Below are 17,254 nucleotides of genomic sequence, written 5' to 3'. Positions count from 1 at the left end.
TTAATGGAACTGTTTTTCATAACTATGTTACAGTTCACAAAGAGAGTAATGTTATTTTAAGTCAAAATAGTATTTTAAAAGACCACTTTTGAAAACAATTATGTAATTAAGAAATTTGGAACTTGCCAAGAAAGTATAAGTAAGGAATTGCACTTAAGAACCTCTTTTTAAAAAGTTTTTAAAGGTCTATTAAGAGTTAAGGTGGAGCCAAGATGGTGGAATAGGAACAGCTCCAGTCTACAGCTCCCAGCGTAAGCGACGCAGAAGACGGGTGATTTCTGCATTTCCAACTGAGGTACCGGGTTCATCTCACTGGGGAGCATCAGACAGTGTGTGCAGGACAGTGGGTGGAGCACACCGAGTGTGAGCCCAAGCAGGGCGAGGCATCGCCTCACCCAGGAAGCGCAAGGGGTCAGGGAATTCCCTTTCCTAGTCAAAGAAAGGGGTGACAGATGGCACCTGGAAAATCGGGTCACTCCCACCCTAATACTGTGCTTTTCCAACGGTCTTAGCAAACGGCACACCAGGAGATTATATCCCGCACCTGGCTCGGAGGGTCCTATGCCCACAAAGCCTCGCTCATTGTTAGCACAGGAGTCTGAGATCAAACTGCAAGGCATCAGCGAGGCTGTGGGAGGGGCGTCCGCCATTGCCAAGGCTTGACTAGGTAAACAAAGCAGCCAGGAAGCTCGAACTGGGTGGAGCCCAGCGCAGCTCAAGAAGGCCTGCCTGCCTCTGTAGACTCCACCTCTGGGGGTAGGGCATAGCCAAACAAAAGGCAACAGAAACCTCTGCAGACTTAAATGTCCCTGTCTGACAGCTTTGAAGAGTAGTGGTTCTCCTAGCAGGCAGCTGGAGATCTGAGAACGGACAGACTGCCTCCTCAAGTGGGTCCCTGACCCCTGAGTAGCCTAACTGGGAGGCACCCCCCAGTAGGGTCAGACTGACACCTCACACGGCCAGGTACTCCTCTGAGACAAAGCTTCCAGAGGAACAATCAGGCAGCAACATTTGCTGTTCACCAATATCCGCGGTTCTGCAGCCTCCGCTGCTGATACCCAGGCAAATAGGGTCTGGAGTGGACCTCCAGCAAACTCCAACAGACCTGCAGCTGAGGGTCCTGACTGTTAGAAGGAAAACTAACAAACAGAAAGGACATCCACACCAAAACCCCATCTGTATGTCACCATCATCAAAGACCAAAGGTAGATAAAACCACAAAGATGGGGAAAAAACAGAGCAGAAATACTGGAAACTCTAAAAATCAGAGCACTTCTCCTCCTCCAAAGGAATGCAGCTCTGCACCAGCAATGGAACAAAGCTGGATGGAGAATGACTTTGACGAGTTGACAGAAGGCTTCAGACGATCAAACTACTCCGAGCTAAAGGAGGAAGTTTGAAACCATGGCAAAGAAGTTAAAAACCTTGAAAAAAAATTAGACAAATGGCTAACTAGAATAACCAATGCAGAGAAGTCCTTAAAGGACCTGATGGAGCTGAAAACCACGGAACAAGAACTACGTGACAAATACACAAGCCTCAGTAGCCGATTTGATCAACTGGAAGAAAGGGTATCAGTGAGGCAAGATCAAATGAATGAAATGAAGCAAGAAGAGAAGTTTAGAGAAAAAAGAATAAAAAGAAACGAACAAAGCCTCCAACAAATACGGGACTATATGAAAAGACCAAATCTACGTCTGATTGGTGTACCTGAAAGTGACGGGGAGAATGGAACCAAGTTGGAAAACACTCTGCAGGATATTATCCAGGAGAACTTCCCCAATCTAGCAAAGCAGGCCAATATTCAAATGCAGGAAATACAGAGAACGCCACAAAGATACTCCTCAAGAAGAGCAACTCCAAGACACATAATTGTCAGATTCACCAAAGTTGAAATGAAGGAAAAGATGTTAACGGCAGCAAGAGAGAAAGGTCGGGTTACCCACAAAGGGAAGCCCATCAGACTAACAGCTGATCTCTTGGCAAAAGCTCTACAAGCCAGAAGAGTGGGGGCCAATATTCAACATTCTTAAAGAAAAGAATTTTCAACCCAGAATTTCATATCCAGCCAAACTAAGCTTCATAAGTGAAGGAGAAATAAAATCCTTTACAGACAAGCAAATGCAAAGAGATTTTGCAACCACCAGGCCTGCCCTAAAAGAGCTCTTGAAGGAAGCACTACACATGGAAAGGAACAACAAGTACCAGCCACTGCAAACACATGATAAATTGTAAAGACCATCGAGGCTAAGAAGAAACTGCATCAACTAATGAGCAAAATAACCAGCTGACATCATAATGAGAGGGTCAAATTCACACATAACAATATTAACCTTAAAGGTAAATGGGCTAAATGCTCCAATTAAAAGATACAGACTGGCAAACTGGATACAGAGTCAGGACCCATCAGTGTCCTGTATTCAGGAAACCCATCTCATGAGCAGAGACACACATAGGCTCAAAATAAAGGGATGGAGGAAGATCTACCAAGCAAATGGAAAACAAAAAAAGGCAAGGGTTGCAATCCTAGTCTCTGATAAAACAGACTTTAAACCAGCAAAGATCAAAAGAGACAAAGAAGGCCATTACATAATGGTAAAGGGATCAATTCACTGAGAAGAGCTAACTATCCTAAATATATATGCACCCAATACAGGAGCACCCAGATTCATAAAGCAAGTCCTGAGTGACCTACAAAGAGACTTAAGACTCCCACGCAATAACAATGGGAGACTTTAACACCCCACTGTCAACATTAGACAGATCAATGAGACAGGAAGTTAACAAGGATACCCAGGAATTGAACTCAGCTCTGCACCAAGCAAACCTAATAGACATCTATAGAACTCTCCACCCCAAATCAACAGAATATACATTTTTTTCAACACCACACCACACCTGTTCCAAAATTGACCACACAGTTGGAAGTAAAGCACACCTCAGCAAATGTAAAAGAACAGAAATTATAACAAATTATAACAAACTGTCTCTAAGACCACAGTGCAATCAAACTAGAACTCAGGATTAAGAAACTCACCAAAACCGCTCAACTACATGGAAACTGAACAACCTGCTCCTGAATGACTACTGGGTACATAATGAAATGAAGGCAGAAATAAAGATGTTCTTTGAAACCAACGAGAACAAAGACACAACATACCAGAATCTCTGGGACACATTCAAAGCAGTGTGTAGAGGGAAATTTATAGCACTAAATGCCCACAAGAGAAAGCAGGAAAGATCTAAAATTGACACCCTAACATCACAATTAAAAGAACTACAGAAGCAAGAGGAAACACATTCAAAAAGCTAGCAGAAGGCAAGAAATAACTAAGATCAGGGCAGAACTGATCTTAGTTACCACCAGAGAATATACTATAAGCACCTCTATGCAAATAAATTAGAAAATCTAGAAGAAATGGATAAATTCCTGGACATATACACCCTCCCAAGGCTAAACCAGGAAGAAGCTGAATCTCTAAATAGACCAATAACAGGCTCTGAAATTGAGGCAATAATTAATAGATTACCAACCAAAAAAAGTCCAGGACCAGATGGATTCACAGCCGAATTCTACCAGAGGTACAAGGAGGAGCTGGTACCATTCCTTCTGAAACTATTCCAATCAATAGAAAAAGAAGGAATCCTCCCTAACTCATTTTATGAGGCCAGCATCATCCTGATACCAAAGCCTGGCAGAGACACAACAAAAAAAAGAGATTTTTAGACCAATATCCCTGATGAACATCGATGCAAAAATCCTCAATAAAATACTGGCAAACCGAATCCAGCAGCACATCAAAAAGCTTATCCACCATCATCAAGTGGGCTTCATCCCTGGGATGCAAGGCTGGTTCAACATACACAAAATAAACGTAATCCAGCATATAAACAGAACCAAAGACAAAAACCACATGATTATCTGAATAGATGCAGAAAAGGCCTTTGACAAAATTCAACAACACTTCATGCTAAAAACTCTCAATAAATTAGGTATTGATGTGACTTATCTCAAAATAATAAGAGCTATCTATGACAAACCCACAGCCAATATCATACTGAATGGGCAAGAACTGGAAACATTCCCTTTGAAAACTGGCACAAGACAGGGATGCCCTCTCTCACCACTCCTATTCAACATAGTGTTGGAAGTTCTGGCCAGGGCAATCAGGCAGGAGAAGGAAATAAAGGGTATTCAATTAGGAAAAGAGGAAGTCAAATTGTCCCTGTTTGCAGATGACATGGTTGTATATCTAGAAAACCCCATCGTCTCAGCCCAAAATCGCCTTAAGCTCATAGGCAACTTCAGCAAAGTCTCAGGATATAAAATCCATGTGCAAAAACCACAAGCATTCTTATACACCACTAACAGACAGCCAAATCATGAGTGAACTCCCATTCACAATTGCTTCAAAGAGAATAAAATACCTAGGAATCCAACTTACACGGGACTTCGTGAAGGACCTCTTCAAGGAGAACTACAAACCACTGCTCAATGAAATAAAAGCGGATACAAACAAATGGAAGAACATTCCATGCTCATGGGTAGGAAGAATCAATATCGTGAAAATGGCCATACTGCCCAAGGTAACTTATAGATTCAATGCCATTCCCATCAAGCTACCAATGACTTTCTTCAAAGAATTGGAAAAAACTACTTTAAACTTCATATGGAACCAAAAAAGAGCCCGCATTGCCAAGTCAATCCTAAGCCAAAAGAACAAAGCTGGAGGCATCAAGCTACCTGACTTCAAACTATACTACAAGGCTACAGTAACCAAAATAGCATGGTACTGGTACCAAAACAGAGATATACACCAATGGAACAGAACAGAGCCCTCAGAAATAATGCCGCATATCTACAAGTATCTGATCTTTGACAAACCTGACAAAAACAAGCAATGGGGAAAGGATTCCCTATTTAAGAAATGGTGCTGGGAAAACTGGCTAGCCATATGTAGAAAGCTGAAACTGGATCCCTTCCTTACACCTTATACAAAAATTAATTCAAGATAGATTAAAGACTTAAATGTTAGACCTAAAACCATAAAAACCCTAGAAGAAAACCTAGGCAATACCATTCAGGACATAGGCATGGGCAAGGACTTCATGTCTAAAACACCAAAAGCAATGGCAACAAAAGCCAGAATTGACAAATGGGATCTAATCAAACTAAAGAGTTTCTGCACAGCAAAATAAACTACCATCAGAGTGAACAGGCAACCTACAGAATGGGAGAAAATTTTTGCAATCTGGTCATCTGACAAAGGGCTAATATCCAGAATCTACAATGAACTCAAACAAATTTACAAGAAAAAAACAAAGAACCTCATCAACAAGTGGGCGAAGGATATGAACAGACACTTCTCAAAAGAAGACATTTATGCAGCCAAAAGACACATGAAAAAATGCCCATCATCACTGGCCATCAGAGAAATGCAAATTAAAACCACAATGAGATACTATCTCACACCAGTTAGAACGGCGATCATTAAAAAGTCAGGAAACAACAGGTGCTGGAGAGGATGTGGAGAAAAAGGAACACTTTTACACTGTCGGTGGGACTGCAAACTAGTTCAACCATTGTGGAAGTCAGTGTGGCAATTCCTCAGGCATCTAGTACTAGAAATACCATTTGACCCAGCAATCCCATTACTGGGTATATACCCAAAGGATTATAAATCATGCTGCTGTAAAGACACATGCACACATATGTTTACTGCGGCACTATTCACAATAGCAAAGACTTGGAATCAAGCCAAATGTCCAACAATGATAGACTGGATTAAGCAAATGTGGCACATATACACCATGGAATACTATGCAGCCATAAAAAAGGATGAGTTCATGTCCTTTGTAGGGACATGGATGAAGCTGGAAACCATCATTCTCAGCAAACTATCGCAAGGACAAAAAAAGCAAACACCGCATGTTCTCACTCATAGGTGGGGAATTGAACAATGAGAACACACGGACACAGGAAGGGGAACATCACACTCCGGGACCTGTTGTGGGGTGGGGGGAGGGACAGCATTAGGAGATATACCTAATGTTAAATGAAGAGTTAATCGGTGCAGCACACCAACATGGCACATGTATACATGTATACATGTGTAGCAAACCTGCATGTTGTGCACATGTACCCTAAAACTTAAATAAAAAAAAAGTCTATTAATAACAGAATAGGGTATACTTATATACTATCATATAGTATTTGTCAGACCCTAGTCTCTAAACACTTTTATTAACTCATTTAATCACCACAGCAATTCTCATTGCACGTATGAGGAAATAGAAGTATAAAGTCATACAGGTAGTGACATACAGATTCAAAGGCAGATAGGTTGACTTCAGACTTTTAATCATAAGCTATACAATACTAGGTGAAAAAGAAAAGCAAATATGTTAGATTATAACCTTTATAGTGCTTTCACATTTGTATTTCAGGTAATGTTAGAGAACACTAATTTCTTATTTTTATATACTGCCTTACAGTAACAATGCACTTAAAGAGACAAATTCAATTTGAGAAACTAGAATAACAGGATACATTAGGTACAAATGTTTAGTAGTGCATTTGAATCTAAGGAAGACAAACAGCAGAAATACTGGCTGGAGGGAGGTGAAGGTCAGAACTAATAGTTATCAAGTAGTATCTATTACGTATCAGCTATCACCCACTTCATGAGGTATCAAGCAGAACATCTATTATGTATCAGCTATCACCCACTTCATGAGGTAGGTACCCTTATTTCAACTGAGAAACATTAAGTCCATTATGAAATTAATCCAAAATCATATAGCTTCAAAGTGGCATAACCAAGATTAGAATCCATATTAGTCTGACTGCAAAACTTCCTTTCACTATACTATGTTGGCTTAACAGCAGAAAATAAGGAAAAAGGAAGACATTTTGCATTTTTGTTGATAGCAAGATCAACATAACCCAATGATGTTAGGTGGCTGCCCCAAAAGCAAATATACTCTTAGGCCACATTAATATTATTATACAGTTGAGATTAGGCTTGGTATTAGGCCCACTATATCTAGAAAAGTAGCAAATGTGGGCATTTAGACTGAAGGGAAATTTTACAGGCAATAAGACAATATTTTCAAATAATTGAGTTATTAAATAGATTAATAGACTAGATTTTGGCATTACGTTTGGCTGAAAGAACTTAACGGTAAACAGAGGTGTCAAAACTAGAATAGGCTGCCATATATGTTCAATTGAAGTTCAACAAAATGTTAGTAATTTTACAGAGGAATTCATACACAAGGTAGGCGTTAAGTAGTTTCATTCCCTGTTGGTACTTCAAATTAGAGCAGTCTGTCTTTTACATGTTGTATGAGCATTCCAATTTAGGTTTTTTTTTTTTTTTTTTTTGGAGGTGGGTGTTCTGATGTAGTTAAAGTCTGAAACCACTGGATTAGATACAATGAAACCACTGGATTCCAACTCAAATTCTGTATACTTAATTGGTTTTAATTAAGGTTAAGAACATAAAATCATTATCTTGACTTTGTCAAAAACAGACCAAACATACCATTTTTTTCTGCAAAGGAAACTGCATCTTCTTTAGTACTGAAGGTTAGAACCATGTTGGATAAGGGATCAGCCCTGTAAGAAACAAATTTTTTTCCAAGATTTAACATTAAGCTTTAGCTGAGAAACAAAATCAATATTTAAAATAAACAGCTACTATAAAATCAAATAAGTACATTATTGATGGAATATTTTATTTGTAATAATTTCTTTAAAACTGTTAGTTGGAATACCTTTTTCTGTGTTAAATTTGGGAGATTTTCTAATATGTATTGTCAAATAATAAAATTCATAATTGCAAAGGCATTGTTAGTCTTTAATAATTTTATTCCACTCTAAAAAAACAATTTGAGATGAATTTTAAAACCCAAGAGGATTCTTAAATGGAAATTAAAATTTACTATCAAGATTACTGATGTGTAAAATTGCTAGTCCTATCATTACTCAAGAAAATGCAACAATACACATTCTTTTTTTAAATTAACTTCTTCTGAGTCTCCTTTTTGAAGATCGCTCACTCCTGACAAACCTTCCATCATTAACAATATTCTTTTAAAGCATAAAAAAATAAAGCTCTAAGATCTGACATCCAATTGAATTCTTCAATGTAGGACAGTGTTAATGTTTACAAATCTACATAGGCTCTTTAGGAAATCCAACTTCAAGAAATGTCACTTTTATTCTTTTTTTTTTTTTTTTTTGAGATGGACTCTCACTCTGTCGCCCAGGCTGGAGTACAGTGGCGTGATCTGGGCTCACTGCAACCTCTGCCTCCCAGGTTCAAGCAATTCTCGTGCCTCAGCCTCCCAAGTAGCTGGGATTAGAGGTATGCACCACCATACCTGGCTAATTTGTGTATTTTTAGTAGAGATGGGGTTTCACTATGTTGGCCAGGCTGGTCTCGAACTCCTGACCTCAAGTGATCTACCTGCCTCAGCCTCCCAAAGTGCTGGTATTACAGGTTTGAGCCACTGTGCCCACCCCACTTTTATTCTTATAACAAGGTGGAACACTGTTTGCTACAAATGTTTATTGTGAATCTCTCAGAGGTGAATATAGCATTCTATGAAACATTGCTTAGAAATGTGGAAGTAAAAAATATAGAAAGGAGGATTCAAAAGGTAATTTGGATGGGGAAAGATATGAGATATAGAAAGAAGAGAATAAATGGGGAGTACCTCTCACTGACGGGAAGACCCACTAATTACTGCTGCCAATGTTCTGGTCACAGACCATGGTTGCTACTCTGAGATTCCTATAATTATATATATTCTTATCATAACCCACCCCTACCCTTTGTAAGCAAAAGAGCTTCATATGGCTGGCTATATTAGTACTAATAATATCATAATTTTATATTGGTTCCTCCTTTTCAAAGCGCACACGATTTTCCAGTTGATAGTTAAAGTATATATACTGAGAACAGAAGTATCAACATAAATATGATGCAGTAATCTGATAAGTGTTGACAGGCACATTGGCTTAGTTGAGAATAAGAAACAAGACAGAAGCCAGGAGATCAGAACTCTGTTTCCTGCAAAGATGGTATAGCCTTTATTATTATCCTCACTTTATTTATGAATACATACATATAGAAATCAAATAGTAACAACTTATATCCAATATATCCAATAGTAACAACATTCATCCACTGGAAGAAGCCACTATTCTTCCAGCCATTCAGTTTCTACCCTTCTCATTCTCCTTCATTTCCTGTATTTTGTAGTTCTTTTTTAGGTATGCTGTCACCACCAGTTTAAGCTCTTTTTCATTATTCCCATAACCCCATCCTAACTAATCTTTCTGCCTCCTTGACTCCAATCCACCCTTCACCAAGATGTCTTCCTAAAGTTCAAATCCCAAACTCACTCTCTGCCCAGTTCAAAAATTTCAAACAGTTTTCACTGTCTATCACATTAACTTCAGTCTTCTACCTTGGCATTTAAGCACTTCTATAATATGGACAGAACTACTTTCTAGCCTTCTTTTTAATTACTCCCCTGAGAAGTAACCAACTAGTCAAATCAGGTTGCTAATTGTTTTTATAAATGCAAGGTGTACTTTCCCATCAGTTCAATTTGTTCCTTCCTCTTGAAATGCTCTCCTACTCTCTGCACATGGAAGTCCATCCAAATAATCCCTCATGCTTCACTTTGAATACCAACCTATTCCATGAAGTCTTTCATATCCTACCCTCCTCCAACTGTATACAATCTCTCTTTCAACCTGGTCCACTAAAGATAATTTGTTCTTTTATTTTTAGACTTTATTTGCTCATTTCTCAATTACTGAAGTTCCAATTTGGGTAATGGCAGAATATTATATCAGATTTATCTGCCTAACTATAAACTCTGGACAAAACAGAAAAATAATTTTCAGAGACCAGAGAGTGACTAATAGAAAAAAAAAATAAACTTCTAGAGAATTCAATCTTTAAAAAAAAGGAACCAATCTAAAGTTGGATTTAGATCCAACTTTATACGGTGTTTCCCATAAGGTATTCTCTAGTCTAGACAAGCTAGGAGCATCGAGAACTCAAGCAGAAAGCCGTAATCTCAGTGCAAGGAGCCTGGAGACGGAGTCCAGGATTGCCAGAGCAGCTGGAAGAGAGTATCCACAGAGCAGGGAGCTTTTGAACTGTACATGATTCAGCAAGGTTTCAAAATGAAGCTGGGAAGGCTGAAAGAATTGAGCAAAGATTTCAGCAGCTGCCTGTTACAGGGGAGACTGAGTCTGAAGGGAGAATGTGGGTAAACACCTTGTGCTTTCCATCAAAACTTCAGAAAGGCCGTGCCTTTTTATTTTTTAACACTAGGTTCCAAGACTAAGGCTAAAACTGAAACAGATCCACTCCAATGATGCATAATCCTCCACAAGTTCAAGGTGGATCTATCAGTAATTTAACTGTCTGTTGGAACAAAACTTATCAAGTTGCTACTGTCATTAACTTGAGAAACATAAGGGATCAGATAATTAATAGATTATTGTTATCTCTATATTAATTGTTTGAATATTAACTAGTGACTAATATTTCAGGGACTAATTAGCATATTAGAAAGCCACATATCCACTAAAAGATATATACGAGATTCTTCATTTTAGTACTGTATTATACATAAAAACCCAAACAGAAATTTACACAAATAACCATCAATAAATAGCATGGAATGGATGAATCTCACAAAGTTAAGCAAAAAAGCCAGTCACAAAAGAGCACATAAAGGATGATTCTCTTTAAGTAAAAAAAAAAAAAAAAAAATAGGCAAAACTAATCTATGTTGTTAGAAGTCAGAACGGTGGTTACCTCTGGAAGGCTGAAATCTGAAAAAAGCATGGGATGAAATGGGAACTTCTGAGATACTGGAAATGCTGTTTCTCCATCTGGGTACTACTCACATGCATGTGTGTTCCGGTTGTAAAAATTCATGAAGCTGTATGCTTCTGATCTGTATACTTTTCTTAATGTATATTTCAATAAAGTTTAAAAAGCAATATTAAGCCTGGCAAAATAATACGTTGTACACATTTCCAAGGTTGATTTTAGATATTTTTCCTCCAATATCATTTTCATATACTTTACTAGACACTAATGAACATCAGTAAACCAATAAAATATCAAAAATTGTTTCATAATTATAATGTCCAACATTGGTTGGCAGATTGCTTTTTGTTCTACACCATAAAACAGACTTTGTGAAGATACTTACCATTTGTGAATTTCAATGATCATTTTCTGCTTATGAGCAAAGCCTATTTAATATTATTCAAAACAGATCTAAGTATCAATACAATGTAAAAATTAGCATTATAACTGACTCTTGATTTACCTAAGAGAACTATTCATGCATAAAAGGTATTGGTGAAACATTTTGGCACTGAGAATTTTAATTAGATGCCCTCTGAATGGCACAGAACGGCAAGTGAATGAGTTTCTTCTCGGGAAGCTTAGCTTATTTGTTTATTTTTTAGTTTAAGTATCAGTAGCAGTTATAAGTGGCTCTAAATGCTGTTAGTTTGATTAGCACCATTCAGAAATATCAGGTGGTCATCTTTCTGCAAATAGGAGATATACATAATGAAGACCGTAGAGAAAAAATATGTAATATTAAAACCAATATTTTAATAAACACTTTTGTTATTTTAAAATATTTCTGAGGTAAGAAATGCCAAATAGCTGAGCAAAAAAAAATTATATTCTGCTATAGAAGTTATGTGTGCACACTCCCTCCACCCTGCATCAGGCCAATTCCACAGATTGGGTGGATGCAAAAATGTTAAATACATATTAACAAATACATATTACTTAAAAATAGTAAATACATATCCAATTATAAAACATATAATTGGATCAGAAAATAGGTAACTGAAATTCACTACAGAAAATGCCCTTCAACAGATGTTACAAAAACATTAATACTTAATACCCATTCCTGATTTTTTTTAATTATTGGTAGATCAAGATTAGAAAAGAACTTTGTCCATTTTATTATATCAGAAACATTTCTGCTAAAGAAGAAAAAGGGAATAAGGATGTTGAATATCATGAATGATACTCAACTTTGCAAATTCTAGCCAATGCAACAAGGCAAGAAAGAGAAATTGGCTATAAGGAGAAAACAAACTGCCACTATTGTTAGATTATATAACTAGAAAATCAAAGTGAATCCCTTGAAAAACCATGACAACTAAAGAGACAGTACATAATGTGGCTTATATGCAAAATCAACTTTAAATATTAGCAATACTCAACTAGAAAATGTAATGAAGAAACTTCATCTGAAATAGTGATAAAACTAAAATATCTAGGCATAATTTTAATAAGAAATGTGAAAAACTTATACTAAGAAAATCATGACATTTCACCAAAGGACATATAAACTTAAATATATGCATATACATACACTGAAAAAAGTCTGGAAGGATATATACCAAATTGTTGTGGGGGCTTCTATGGAGGGAGGGCGGGTATACTGGTGAGAGGGTAGTAAGCAGGGGAGGAAAAGGAGTAACTGGTAACATTCCTCGCTTATATGTTATATATGGAAACATGTATCTATAGTTTAAATCTACAATGCAAGCACAGTCATTTACTTGTTCAAAAGTCAGTAATGAGATGAAAAGTAGACAGAATTCTTATTTAAATTCAATTAAAAAAACTGAACCACCTGATTAAAGCAAATTTTAGAAGTGCTTTGGCAATGTGTTAGAACAGTGTAAAGGGGAAAGATGATACAGGCAATGCTTCTGTTTGCTACTTACTCATAATCAAAAGAACTATCTGCCAACCTAAGATGTCCACTTTGATGACTTAAGGCTTGAGGATCAAGTGATGAGAGAATTCGCAACATCTACGTTTGTGCACATGTCTGCTTAAACTATTTGACCTTCTATGTCCACAATGACATGGAACAAATCCTTGTTTCCAGAAGCTGAATGACAGATTCATAATTTTCTAACAAAAAAAACATTTTTAAAATTTAACACAGAAGTCACATTTTCAGAATGTGATTAACACAAAAAGTACTGAGTCCAATGATCACTGAGTTTCAATGACCAATGTACATTAATACAGCTGAGGAAAAATAAATCATTTTTAGGTTTAATCAAAATTAAAGTCCTGCTTACAGAAATAAATGAAAAGTAAGCATTTACTAACCTAAAAGATAAAAGATTGTAAAAAAAAAAAAGAGATTAATAACCAATAGTTATCTTTGGCAACTTGCTACAATATTAAACAAGGATAAGTCATGCTGTCTCCCTGAAACAGGATCAAGGAGATTTAAAAAGTAAAAACACTTGGGTCAAACCCAAAGGATAATTTTGCACCTTAAGATATTTTTCATATTTACACAAAGATAAATCTTTTACCTTTGAGTTCTAACATTTAAAGACTCAGGTAATTAAAAGAGCATAAGAAAAGCTCCACTTTGGATGAGAAAAGAAATGTAAATATAGTACTTTAAAATATGAATTTAGAAATCTAAAAACAAAGATCAAACACATTTATCTTAAAATCCTACATGTGAACCAAAGTGGCCTTTCAAAAAATACTGTAGATAAGCAGATAACAATGAAATGTATTCACTATATTTTTAAAAAATAAAACCATGTTTACAGTCATGAAGCCCATTTTCACAATGAGGATCCTTCCCCTCAATCCCCACTGAGGAAAACATATGGGAAAACATTTAAGATTTCAAATTTCTGTCACAAAATTACTGTGAAATTACTGTAAAATTACTGTAAAATTAAAAAATTACTGTAACTTTGTAAAATTACCTTTTCCATTAGCACTGCCTCTGCTGCTCAATGAAATATGTCCTTTCCTGTGTATTTAACAGCAAGATAGCAAAAAAAGAAAAAAAAAACCCTTCCAAAGGTATATAAAAATAATCTCTGCAGGTGTTACATTTGTCATATTTCTTATACTGCACACTTCCAACCCTCTGTAATACTCTTACATCAGCAGGGTTAGATGTCTGTTAAACCCTCCAAGCCATTCCATCAATATGATAGACCTAGACAGTATCTATCAGAAGAAATGAATAAAGTTGGCCGGGCACGGTGGCCCACGCCTGTAATCCCAGCACTTTGGGAGGCCTAGGCAGGCGGATCACGAGGTCAAGAGATCGAGACCATCCTGGCTAACACGGTGAAACCCCATCTCTACTAAAAATACAAAAAAAATTAGCCGGGCGTGGTGCAGGTGCCTGTAGTCCCAGGTACTTGGGAGGCTGAGGCAGAAGAATGGCATGAACCCGGGAGGCGGAGCTTGCAGTGAGCCGAGATCGCCCACTGCACTCCAGCCTGAGCGACAGAGTGAGACTCCATCTCAAAAAAAAAAAAAAAAAGAATAAAGTTAAGCCCAAGATCCCCTAAATTAGGAAACCTTGTGGCTTTGGAAACAAATATATTCTAGGTATAGGATGGATAGTCATTTCTCTTTTAGCACATCCTAAAATCATTCTTTGACCCACAGCAAAAAACACATTAAAATATTAACATTCTCTTTGCTCCATTAAATACAGTAATTCTCCTGATTAAAAAAAATACAAGTCTATATGGACTTATCTAGCCAGGTTTTAAATATTTTATATTTTTAATATTCTACATATTAGTATTTTATATATAGTTGTAAAATAAAATATAAGCAGGCTGAGAACCCAAACTATGGTCAACTCATTAATTTATCTGGGACACAGGTTTATTTCTTAGTTAAGTGATAAAATTTAATTAGATGATCATGAAAAACCTTCAGCTTACAATTCTAACAATTTTAGAAAAAGATTTAAAATATTTCACAAAGAGAAGTCAGAATTCAATATGTCCAAGCAGTAAAATTACATACTATTTTTGTGTCATTAAAATGCTAAAAAAAGAGTAGCAATTCTCTGTTCTAATCAAATCAAATAAGTAAATATTTTAAATAATAATTTTATTCTTATATTTTTTCATGCTACTGGTTGTTAACACCAGAACAAAAAGAATTAATGAATGTTTTTTAAAATTATTCAAGATTCAAAACAATGTCTCAGATAAACCAATTGCAGACAAGGTCTATTGCTTCAAAAAACTTTTTACTTCGGCAAAACTACGTTTTGAAAAAGAACTTTACCTCCCAAACATATAGTATATCTCATTTTCAATCAATATGTAATAAAAACAGCATTTCCATATTTATGCACAATAGGTTACAGTTTTGTCTTAAAGCATCAGAGTATTAAATCACTACATATTTCAACATTTAATATGCTATTTCCAGACTAAGCAATACTATAATAATGATTGTGTGAACCTTTGTGCAAGCACAGCAAAGTAAAACTGTATTTATTTAAACAATCCACTAATGCGCTTCCAGGACACACTATCCCCAAAATATGGCAGCTTGGCATTTGAGAAAACAGCAGAAGCAGGAAGGTCTCTCTGACACTCTCCCCTGAAGTAGGACATAACAGAATTATCTGACCTTCTGAAGTCAGTCCTAAGACCCTCATTCCAGAACTGTCTACCCTATAACAGAAGGAATGGAATGTCCTTATTTCTGAAGACAGAGACACAGACAAGAATCTGAACAAACAGGTCTGGCTAAGTTCTTCCTAGTTTATAATCATTAGATCATAAACTTTGTCCAACCATCTTTCTGTATGACTGTCCACTCTTCATCAAAACTAAGCCCAAAAATACACAGATTTCCCTGTTTCTTTGGGTCTTCATTTCTGAAGTCTCCTGTATCACATAAAACTTACACAAAATGAAATTGTATGCTAGTCTCTTGTTAAACTATCTTTTGTTATAGATGTCTCAGCCACAAACCTTGCAATAGATGTGAGGAAGATATTACTTTTTCTCCTCTATACCACTCAAATGTATATTCTTATATAAAGTATTTTACTCATCAACAATTTAGCGTATACAAGGCACAAGTACTCAAATAATCATTTATTACTGAATGTTGCTGGGAATGTATTACTACGGTGAGTCTGGGGAATAGATGAACATGTAAAAATCTCATGTGATTGAAAAACAGTAATCATTAACATTTCAATCACTGGATCGGGACAAATTTTTTCCTTATAAATTCCTTCAGCTTCTAGAAGCATGTGGTTTACAAAATGACTCTATATATTATATGAAACATAAAATAAAAAGGATAACACAACACCTACTCTTCAAAAGAAAACATACAAATGGCCAATGAACACGAAAAATGCTCAACAGCACTAATCATCACAGAAATGCAAATCAAAACTACCATGAAATACCATTTCATACCAGTCAGAATGGCTATTGTTGGCAAGGATGCAGAGAAAAGGAAATGCTTATACCCTAATGGTGGGAATGTAAAGCAATTCAACCCCTATGGAATACAGTATGGAGATTTCTCAAAGAACTAAAAACAGAACTACCATTTGACCTAGCAGTCTCACTACTTGGTATCTACCCAAAGAAAAATAACTCATTTTATCAAAAAGAAACCATTCACAATAGCAAAGTCAAGGAATCAACCTAAGTGTCCATCAACAATGGATTGGATAAAGAAATGTGGTACATAAACATCATGGAATACTACGCAGCAATAAAAAAGAATCAAATCATGTCCTCTGTGGCAACATGGATGAAGGTGGAGGCCATCATCCTAAGTGAATTAATGCAGAAACAGAAAATCAAAGACTGCATGTTCTCATTTGTGAAAGCTGAACAATGGGTACACATGGACGTAAAGATGGAAACAATAAACACTGGGAACTCCAATAGAGGGGAGAGGGAGAAGGGGGCAAGAGTTGAAAAACTGCCTGCTGGGCACTGTGTTTACTTAATTTGGGTGATGAGTTCACTAGAAGCCCAAACCCCAGCATCACCCAATATATTCATGTAACAAACCTGCACATGTACACCCTGGATCTAAAATTTAAAAAAGAACAATATTCAATTATGTATGAAGGGCCTTAGACTAAAGGGCAAAATTTCCATGAACAGGGGGATACTCTAGATCACTTTATTATGAAAACAAACACAAGATAGAAAGAAAATATAGATTCCTATTGTTTCTGATATAAGGAAAAGTAATTGCCAGAGAGCATCCCCTCACCTTTGCCATAATCAATTGTCTAGAACAAGTCACAGATGTAGCCATACCTTATGGAAGAGGATGATTAGAGTTGTAACAAAGAAGCAGATATCCTGGGGCATCTTAGAATTCTACCTACC

General features: G+C 36.6%; 1 protein-coding gene across 5 annotated transcripts in view; it reads right to left on the bottom strand.

Moving 5' to 3' along the window:
* NDUFS4 (NADH:ubiquinone oxidoreductase subunit S4) overlaps positions 1 to 17,254 on the bottom strand; it is a 122,700-nt gene that overhangs the window by 17,167 nt on the left and 88,279 nt on the right. For 4 of the 5 annotated variants that reach the window (NR_134475.2, NR_134473.2, NR_134474.2 and 1 more), the window contains one exon: positions 7,548 to 7,621. The exons of the other annotated variant lie outside the window; for it this stretch is intronic. Coding sequence is in view for 1 of the 4 variants with exons in the window: in NM_002495.4 (NP_002486.1) it covers positions 7,548 to 7,621 (74 nt within the window). In the remaining 3 variants the exon portion in view is untranslated. The remainder of the gene's footprint in view (positions 1 to 7,547; positions 7,622 to 17,254) is intronic. 5 annotated transcript variants of the gene reach the window in all.

Source organism: Homo sapiens, chromosome 5 (assembly GCF_000001405.40).
Source record: "Homo sapiens chromosome 5, GRCh38.p14 Primary Assembly".
Lineage (NCBI taxonomy): Eukaryota > Metazoa > Chordata > Mammalia > Primates > Hominidae > Homo > Homo sapiens.
Note: the sequence above shows the minus strand (reverse complement) of the source record. Positions and strands in the feature narration are given on the sequence as shown.